General features: G+C 41.8%; 1 protein-coding gene across 29 annotated transcripts in view; it reads left to right on the forward strand.

Moving 5' to 3' along the window:
- The window catches only part of LYPD6B (LY6/PLAUR domain containing 6B), a 176,564-nt gene that overhangs the window by 123,520 nt on the left and 42,312 nt on the right, over positions 1-10,732 (forward strand). The window lies entirely within an intron of this gene.

Genomic DNA, 10,732 nt, shown 5'->3' on the forward strand with positions numbered 1-10,732 from the left:
CACTACAGGTAACATTTGTTTGTTCTTACTGTCTACCAGGCAACACCCTAAGCATTTTGCATGCATTCTCTCACTCAATCTGCACAGCATTCCTGTAAGGAAGGGTCTATTAATATCCACCTTTTATAGTTGAGGAAACTGAGGCTTACCTAAGAGATTAGGTAAGTTGCCCAAAGTTAGACAAGCTAAAAGGTGGCAGAACTGGAATGTAACCCATTGAACAGCACTGAATGGGGCCAACCCATGTGGAGTATTTACGGCTGTGCTTTACTCGATGTCCACACTCACCCCTGCTTGCATTCCCTTTTGTCCTGACCACCACCTACTGTTGACACTCTAGCTATCTCTTCTGCATGAAGGTAGCCAAAAAATTCAAGAGCATTTAAGTAGTTCAAGATCGTTAAAGCATATTTGGCCTATGGAGAACAGCAGAAAGAATTAAGAGTAAAAATCACCCAATTTTAAAAGGTGCCAGTTGTAGTCATGAACACTTTAGTGTATTTTGCTGTTGTTTTCCCCTTTGTATTTACTTTTTTCACATAGTCTCTATGTACTTAAGTTTTGAACTTTAAACGTAACCAAGTCGTTTCTTGCGCTTTTGCCTGTTTTAATGGCTGCTGAGTACTCTATTAAATGTGTATGGTTAGAGAGCCTTAAGTCTACTCCACAAGAAGTTATATCCTTGACTTGCTCCTACGTGATAAGTGCGGAGTTTCTGCTCACCATATGTGATAGCTAATTTCTGTTTTCTGGGCAACTGGGTTGGAATTGTGGGGTGCCTGCATCCCCTCACATTTTAAATACCTTGCATCTTGAGAGGGGTCTCTGTGGGGGGTGGGGCAGGAGTCCTGCTTGCCTGGAGCCCAGATTCAGCTCTGTGCCAAAACTAGCTGTAAGTTACTTTATTTTATGGCATCTTCATCTGTGAACATCTCATCAGCTCTGTAATTCCACACAGTCAGGAGTTTTCTGAACTCTCTTGATTCATAACCTGAGGAGTTTCAATAGATGCAGCAATTTTGGTTGAGCTCAGTGGAGTTACTCTGAGATGCTTTAAGCAGGGAATTTTGTTTTTCAAGATGATCAGACCTGTAAGCTCTTGGAAGGAGAGGGTCTTACTTTTATATAATTCTTGCCATTCCCGCCTCTGCACCCTCAACAAACTTCTTCCTCCATGCTGACATACCCACAAAATAGATAGTACAAGGTATGAAATCAACAAACAGAAGAACAAACAAGTAATGCACAGACAAAGGCTACCGGGCTTGTGTAAGAACCTTTAGCATCATGGCTGTCCAGCTTATCAAATAATTGAGTAAGATTGTTTTCATTTCAATGTGTTAGCTTTGTTTATAACAAATGGGGACTTAAGCCTCCAGATCCTCTCATCATATATTTCAGAGTAATTTCCCTATAAAGTTGGGTATCAGTTCTTCCCTCAGGTTACAGGTGAGGGAACACTGATTTATGGAACTTGCTATTTTTTCCCCCTGTGTCCTGGAGTGAAGTAACCTTTTGCTTAGGTCACAGTAAAATCAAAGCTTAGAATGTAATCATTCTCTTGTTTTGGGAAGGGAAGACTTTTGCTCTAACCTGGGGGGTCAACAATTGGGTCTATGAAATAAACTGACAACAGGCAGATTAACAGGAGAAAAGGTATGCAAATTTATTATATGCATGAGTGCATCATAGGAAAGAAAGTGAATATCCAAAGACATAGTCAGATTTAGGAGCTCATATATTCTCTTCGTAAGAGAGAGAGGAGGAAGGACGTAGGCAAATAAGAGAAGAGTAAATGATTTTTTGGGAAGATGAATGGGCCCTCAGAAGAATAGATCGGAGATACGGTAGTTTGTGACAGAGTTTGTCTGGGTGGGGTGTGTGTTCTAGTTTCCTTACCGGTGATAAGATTTAATCTCCTCTGGTTGATGAAACTTCTGTGGAGGGAATTGATGACAACCTAGTTTCTTTTGGAGCATCTGTCTGTCTTTAGGCAGATAAGGGGAGCTCAGAGCAAGCCTCTCTCTGCACTTGCTGTTTTTCAAATGCCTTCAGCTCAAAATAATCATACTAATACAGTGTGTTTTGGGGTGGCATATCCTGAAGTCCTTCACTTGCTTTTACCAGCAGAATAAAATGAAGGCATTCTGGGCTTCCTGCATTCTTGGAGCCACATATCTGGACCATGGATATGACATGATTGGTTCTGACTGGCTCCCCTGATTCTCCCTTAGTGATGCTGATCTTGAATTTTGTGACTCATGCCATGAAGGTGTCTACCCACACTGTTGTGCAATATCCAAGACCTGTGGAATAACACTGCTTCCAAGGAAGCCAAATTCAGGCATTTCTGGCTTTGTATTCTATTGCAGACTAAAAGGAACAAACAAAATCCTGTATTCCCACGATATCCCTCTACAAGGATCTAACTTGGCACCCTACCTTGGTGCTGAAAGCTTGCCTCCATCTTCCCAAATTTGATCACTAATTGGTCTTAGCTTTTTCCAAGTGAATGTGCTGCCTCACTGGCCCTAGGTGGGTGATATAAGAGCTTGGAAACACCTTGTGATGGTTGGTAAACCTGCTGGCAAGTGGCCTGGTTTTATGTGTGTGTGTTTGAAATACTATTGATAATAAATCCTCATTTGTATCAGTGAGGGCTCTGCATCAGTTATCTATTGCACAACAAACCACCTCATACATAGTGGCTTAAAACAACAGCTGTTTAATTTGCTCATGATTCTGTGGGTCAGCAATTTGGGCACTTTTGCTAATATTGCCATTTGGGCTCAGCTGGGTGGTTCTTCTGTTAGTTTCACCTGGGGTCACTCATGCCCCTGTGCTCAGCTGGTACCTTGGAGCTAGGTGATCTAGGGGATCTCAGCTGAGATGACTCATTTCTGCCACATGGTCTGCCCCTCCAATAGCCTAGCTCAGCCTCCTTGACATGACAGAACTTTCTGGCAAGAGGACAAGAGCAAAAACTATAAGCTTGAAGCCTAAACTCAGAAATTACGTAGCCTCTCTTCTGCCACATTCTGTTGGTCAAAGAAAGCTATAGGACCAGCCCAGATTCAAGGGGAGGGCATTGGAAATAGACTCCACCTCTAACTTGGAGTAGCTGCAAAGAATGCATGGCCATTTTAAATTTATTGCAGGCTCTTAACTTTGTTATAAAAGCAATCTGAAATTACTTTAAAATTATTTTGTCATTTAAAAATCCTGGAATAGGGATGGTCTTGTCAGCCCATCTGAGAGGAGTCTGGAAAGTGGAGGTCTTCAGTAATGTACCTAAGAATATAATAAAGTTAATAACAACACAAGCAGGCACTAATATTGTTTTTACTATATGCCCAGCACTATATGGAGTCCTTTAGATATCATAACTCATTTGGTCATTACAAAATCTTATGAATAGGTGTTATTTTTATCCCTAACTTATAGGTGAGAAAACTGAGGCACAGAGCGGTTAAGCAACTTCCCTCGAAGTCATACAGCTAAGTCGTAGACCTGGGATTCCACTCCAGGAGGTCAGGCTTCAGAGTCTGCATGTTAACCCTAATGCTTCTCAAGTTAATGGAAATTACATCTTTCTGACTCCTAGCAGAGTTCTCTCTTGGACTGTGTGGTTTTTCTAGAGACAGGGGGATTGGCTATTTAGAGATGGTTGCTAGGCCTTCCTGGGTACACCCAAGTGACCAAAAATGGTTCTGTCACATTATAGGAGACCCTAATTAGATGTAATAAAGACACTTATTATCCCATGGAACACACAGTAATTCTCCTGAGCCCAACAGTATTTCCTGGGGGTAGGGGTGGAGGTAGAGGGTTCTTATTCTTCTCTTTGGTTGGCAGGCATTTGAAGAATGAGGATATTTAATAACGCCCTCTATAACCTTTCAGGTAGCCTCTTATTTTTTGGTTTCAAGTAATCAGAAAGACTTAGCCTCAAAGAAAAAAATGTTGTGTTTATTTAGCTTTTTGTTTAAGGACTATCCCAAGGAAAGGGTGGGTTGATAGCCTTTTTAATCTAGGGTTTGTTGAACTCAATTAAGTCCAGTGTCCAGGTAGAACAGGTGGTTTATCTAAGAAAAATGACAAATTTTGCTGACATTTTTGAGGTCACCCTTGCAGCCATGAATAAAGTGGCTCATAGTACCAATATGAGTTACAATAAGAAGTTACTTAACCTCTCTGTGCCTCAGTTTTCTAATCTATAAATTAGGGACCCTTTCTGTTTGAGGGGCATGGCACATTTAGGAGCCAGGACTAGACTTGCGTCTCCAGGATGGTCATATCTCACTCTCCATTTAGCTATGGAGTGGGGGAGAGACTGCCAATCTAAGGCTTAAGGGAAGTCACTCTGGCTGTCTAGCATCTTATCTCCCTTAAATCCCATCCTTGTCTCTTGACTCTACAACTGGCCTCCTTCTGACACCCTCATCGTCTTATGTGGGCTCAGGTTGGCATCAATGTCTGTTGCATTGCTACCGAGAGTGTTTGCTACAACTTTGCACTCATGAGAATTTGCATGTTCACCCTAATATGGACTCCAGCTAGAATCTGAGCTGGAAAATGGGCAATCTGGACATGCATGGTCCCACCAGAGAGGAGAGATCACAGGATGGGGACTAGGGAGACCCAAGCTGCAGACTGCCCCGCCCCTTCCATCATTGCTCACCTTCCCACACCAAAAACTTCTCAGGACAGCTTTCTTGCTTGTCAACCACGACATCCTAGGGTTATTTTCCCCATACCAGTGGAAACCCTGTTACCTTCATAATCTTTTCCTTCAACTAATCTTGAAGAGTTTATAATCCTCTTCTGCATTAAGTGTTTTTTTTTTTTCTCTTGTGGATGCTCACTTTCCTCGTTTCTTATTCAAACCAGCTGGGACAGTTTATCCCCTAGCATAGAAATGAAAACCTGACAGGCAGGTCTCTGCAGTCGAGATTGGGCTGGTTCTCTCTCCAAACAGTATTTTACTGTTGGCTGCTGCAGTTGAATAGCTCAGCCTGCCATTATGACAGAATGGCCCAGGACAGACTACAGGCAGGAAGCGTCTTTTGTTTCAGGGGGCTTTGGAGCTGTTTTTTCCCTGCCATAAACTTAATTGCTTTCTGTGATATATCTGGCAAACCTACCACTGTCCTTTTTGCTGCCTCCTGCTTGGTCAATCAGGACTACCAAAGCCTGCAGCTTTGCTTTTTAGGAGGTTTGGTTGATTAACATGAGTTTGCCTTTGGCTTTTGCTAACATTGCCTTTTTTGGGGCACTAGTGGTGCCCAGGAGAAGGATGTGAGTGTGGTACGTGTGTGGGGAGGTATAGATGAGAGACAGCTGGGTCTTCTGGGACAGTGGGGGAGCAGGCTCAGAAAATTGTGGTTCACCACAGGGTCCTCACGTGCATGAGTAAGTCATCCTCCTTCCTGAAAGGGAGGTTTTATTCACCTTATCACCATAGAGGATGTTTCAGATGTGGCAATTCCTTTAAGTCACTGCAATTTTGACTCACCCTAGGATTTCTGGGTTTAATTGCTCCCCTTTCTTGTTGGTTTTATGACCAGTGTTGCAGGAAAGACAATACTTGAAAGTCTGTGGAAGCCCCTTCTTTTTATATTTTTCTTTGCAGTGACGATGATTGCTTAACAATAATAAACATAGAGGTTTTTTTATGTTTTTTGTTTTTGTTTTTGTTTTTTTAAAAAGACCTTTGGGCCAGGTGTGGTGGCTCATGCCTGTAAACTTTGGAAGGCCTTGGCAAGTGGATCACTTGAGGTCAGGAGTTCAAGACCAGCATGGCAAACATGTCAAAACCCAATCTCTACAAGAAATACAAAAATTAGCCAGACGCAGGGGCATTTGCCTGTAGTCTCAGCTACTCAGGAGGCTGAGGCAGGAGAGTTGCTAGAACGGGGGAGGCGGAGTTTGCAGTGAGCCAAGAGATTGCACCACTGCACTGTAGCCTGGGCAACAGAGTGAGGCTCTGTCTCAAAAAAAAAAAAAAAAAAAAAAAAGAACCTTGCTCTAGGCTGGTTCCTGGTGAGGAAGAGGAGCTGGGGATGGTGCTTTCAATGGTTAAAGGCATATTTACACATTTGCACATGTGCCCGTCAGGTTCCAGTCCACAGTAGCAGCCACTTTAGCAACGTTCTCATAATCCTCAGTGGCACCTTCTTTAAAGCTTGTTATCAACAATCCAACCAAAGCATCACATTCCAAATTTAACTTTAACCTGCCCTTGAAATTTCATCCTTAGAAAGTCTTTCTAGAATGGAGATGAAAACCTCTTCTGTGTCTAAATACGACAAGCCCATGCCTGATTTGCCTGTTCTCACCATGGTCATTTCCATATTTAAGCTGTGAATATTGAGTTCTGTCTGCTATCAGCTGTGGCTCCCCATGCCTGTTCTCTGAATGTAGGTCTTGCTAGAACAAAAAGGGTAAAGGTTGTTATTCCTGGATGGCAGATCTATGTAACCACCAGTGTGGTGCCACCAGATAGACAATGAATGAATGTGTTTGGACAATAATATAACCTGCAGCACACACTCTGATCATAGGGGCCTAGCTTCTCTTTTGCATTAAGCCTCAGGTATTCTTTGATCAAGTGTGTGGTCAAGTCTTTGTAAGTTTACTTTGGGGCCTTAGCAGTATACCCAAACAGATTGTTGCCAAAATCACACATGGTATGAGCCTATTTAGGTATTATCTAACAGAACTCTAATGGGCAACAATTATGTAGACAGTTACTTGTCATCTATTAAATCAGTGTATTTTCTATAGGTTTTTAAATAGTGCTTCATTTGTAATTAAACTGTATTTTAACATATCCCCTCAAAAAGGGTAAATTTGAGTAATGCACTATGGAAATGGTAAGGAGATTCAGATTAATTAGGAAATGATTAATTCAGATTAATTAGGAAATACCCTAATTCATGCATGGACCCGCTCTTGGGGGTCTAGGTGAGAGACCTAGCTGTCTCTCACCTGTCCATCTTCAACACACACATCACACTCATGTCCTTCTCTTGGACATGTCTCTTCCCCAAAACAGGCAATGTTAGCAAAAGCCAAAGGCAAACTCATGTTAATTAACTAAACCTACTAAAAAGCAAAGCTGGCAGGCATTTGTAGTCCTGATTGACTAAACAGGAGGAAGTGTTACTCTGGTAGTCTGATTGGAGCATGACTTTGAAGGGGATAAGGTTCTCAATTGTCAAGTCTTTAAACTGGACTGCCATTTTAGAGGCTTTTACTGTTCCTTGTCAACATATGTGTTTGGCTTGTTTCAAAAAGACACTGCATTAGTTGTATACAAGGGATTCCTAAAATAACCAAGGGAGTGACCTAAGAGAGACAACCAGCTAGTGTTCCCATAGGATTTTTCTCCTGAAACTGAAGTTACAAATCTCTTCTCTTCCATTTTTCACCTATCAGTCGATCCCTGTTATCACCAGAGGCCAGATGGATAGTTCTGGGGATTGTCTTCCTTGAGTTGTGAGCTGAAATGCAGACTTTAAATACAGGGTTTTAAGATGTTAGGGAGGAAAGCGACATTGATTTATTTGTTCTGTTCCCTGCCAGCCTGAGAAACCTGTCCCGCCAGGTAATGAACAACTGTTCTTATCCTAACTAGCAACTTCAAGAGAACGATTACTCATCCCATCATTACCACTCCCCCTGAGTCATCCAGGCTGGTACATTTTGGTTTCCACTGAATAAAAATCTCCAGGCAATGGGAGTCTAGGGCCAAGGTTTCTGTTTAGTAATATGAATTATATAAATGTGCCTTGGACATGGAAGCTGTGGATCCTTCTGGAAAGATATTTCATAGGCCCAGGTCTTCAGCCATGTCTCTATTTGAAAAATTGTATTGGTCAGTATTGCCAAAAGTGGCCATCTTAATGGTCAGTACAGAATGATACAGCTAATCTGGTTGATCACAAGGGCAAAGATACAGCTATGAAAATGGATAGTTATTTGCCTGTACCTCTTGCTTGTAATTTCATAGTCATGTTGCATGTTAACCACTCAGTATTCATGGGGGATTTTAGTAAACCTTTTTTCAGGCCTTGTTCTTGTGACAGTGCTGAGAGGGCTTTCACACTTGACATATGCCATCATAGATGAGGACTATTGAAAGGCAGCTGGAGTCATTTCCATTTTACAAATACCATCTGTCTTCTATCACGTCACTGTTCTCTGTGCTATATTCTGTTCTCTGTGCTATGTCCTGTTGTGCCTGATTTGGGAGACAAATGTGAGACTGGATTGTCCTGGATTAAATTTGGATGTATGGGTAGTTATAGAAATCAATATTGATAGGCATGTGTGTTCAGTTCATTTCAAGGTTTAGTTTATTTCAAAAGTCTTAATATTTATATTTATTACAGATCTAGAGACACATAGCTTTGAGTAGGAGCTGTATTTTGAAACATTATGGTTTATGGGAAAACCTGGCATGTAGAAAATCAAAAGAAAGTACTCAAGGCAGAATGCTGAATGTAAGTTTGTGGGTTAATAGAAAATCCTACCTTTTTTCTACAAATTCCCAACTAATCCTTCCTAGGTTTAAATAAAACCAACAGTCACTATTCTAACAGCTATTCTGTCACCTTTCTTTGTCTTCAGGCACTTGAAATACATCATTAAACAACACAGAATTAATCCCAGGCCCTTTAGACTTTATACAGAGCTTCTTGGGGCAGGAACTTTATCTTCTTCATCTTGAATCCTGAGAACTAAGAAAAATAAATGTTTTATAAGCAGGCATGTATGAAATAATTAGTAGCTGTGAAAATAAAACAAGTGGTGATCCTGAAGCCCTGGCAGTTTGACAGCATGTCCTGTCGGGTCAGTGTGAGATAGGACCTGGTTGCAGGTGGGAGCAGCCACTCTGGGACTCTCAGATAAGGCCTGAATGGAAAGGCAATAATGTGTGCCCGGGAGCAGATTGACTTTACCATTGCCTGCGATTCCTGTGTGAAATAGGAAGGCTCAACCCAGGCAAATGCTAAGGAAGCAACACCAAGTCTTTTATTACTGTCCACAACATTTATAGCCAAGTCCTATTCCATGCCCTTCTCCTTGAGGCATTCTGACAGTCATTTTAATGATTTATTTTCTTTTTCATTATCAAAAAACAAATAACATATTTTATTACCTTTTGTGTAGACTTGATGTCTTTCTCTTCATTTCATCAGTATCTGGGTCTGCAAAATTCCCCTTCCCTTTCAATTTTTATAACTCAAGGATAGGAATTCTGTTTTTCTCATTCCTTACGTGAGAGCTCTTTTTTGAAGTCTGATTTTTTTTTTTTGATCCTATATCCCCAGCCTATTTTCTTGTTGTTACTTTATATCTGTGAGTGGGATAGGTGGAGAGGAAAGGAGTATATGGAAAGGGGGACTCAAGAAAGGCCACATCTTTACAATAACATATGGATGGCAGGGAAAGGTTTTGAATAAGAAAAACATTTTTTCAATGCTCTTCTCCACTATTTAAAGATGTAAGAACATTGGCGCTATGCTGCTGAAGATGTTCTGTTGGTTTAGGGAGAAAACACTCTACTACTGAAATTTGCTCTGTGATTTCTTTCCTAGGATCTACAATAAAAACCAATGATCTATGTGAGAGCCCATGGCATTGTGATTCCCCTCCATCCTGAATTGCATGTCTTCAATTCAAGCACCCTGCTTTGTGGCTCCCAGGCCCCTGGTTTCTACCCTCTGCCCTTTTGGCTCATTTCCTCCTCATTTTCCGTATGCCTCTGTATTAGTTTGTTATCATGCTGCTACTAAAGATATACTGAGACTGGGTAATTTACAAAGGAAAGAGGTTTAATTGACTCACAGTTCAGCATGGCTGGGGAGGCCTCAGGAAACTTACAATCATGGCAGAAGGGGAAGCAAACATGTCCTTCTTCACATGGCGGCAGGAAGAAGAAGAATGAGCAAAAGGGGGAGAAGCCCCTTATAAACTTATTAGACCGTATGAGAATTCACTCACTATCACAAGAATAGCAGCATGGGGATAGCCACCCCCGTGATTCAATTACCTTCTACTGGGTCTCTCCCATGTCATGTGAGGATTATGGAAACTACAATGAGATTTGGGTGGGGACACAGCCAAACCATATCACCCTCCTTACATTAAGGTATCAGCAGCAGGATCTCCTCCTTCAGACCAGTCATCATGGGCTTCAAAACCTACCCGACCACATGCGTGGATTTGTAAGGGCAAAGCTCTTCTTGGAGAGGTGATTTCAGGTCAGAGTTGATGCAGGATGAGATTATGCCTTGTTCAGTGGTACAACCAGGACATCTGTTCTGTGGACCTCCTAATCAGAACTGGATGTACTATTCCAATGGTGATCACACTCATCATGATGGTCTGGGATGCCCAGATAGTTAGTAAAACATTATTTCTGGGTGTGTCTGTGAGGATGTTTCTAGAAGAGATGAGCTAAACTTTAATTGGTAGATGGCCCTCTTCTATGTAGGTGGGTACTGTCCAATCCATTAAGGGCCTGAACAGAACGAAAAGGCAGAGGAGGATTGAATTAGCTCTCTCTGCCTGACTGCTTGAGCTGAGACATGGATGTTCTGCCTTCAGTGCTCCTGGTTCTCAGGCCTTCAGACTCTGACTGGAATCAACACCATTAGCTCCCAGCTCTCCAGGTCTTCAAACTATACCACCAGCTTGCAGATGGGGCTTTTTGGCCTTTCTA

The sequence above is a fragment of the Homo sapiens genome, chromosome 2, assembly GCF_000001405.40.
Source record: "Homo sapiens chromosome 2, GRCh38.p14 Primary Assembly".
Lineage (NCBI taxonomy): Eukaryota > Metazoa > Chordata > Mammalia > Primates > Hominidae > Homo > Homo sapiens.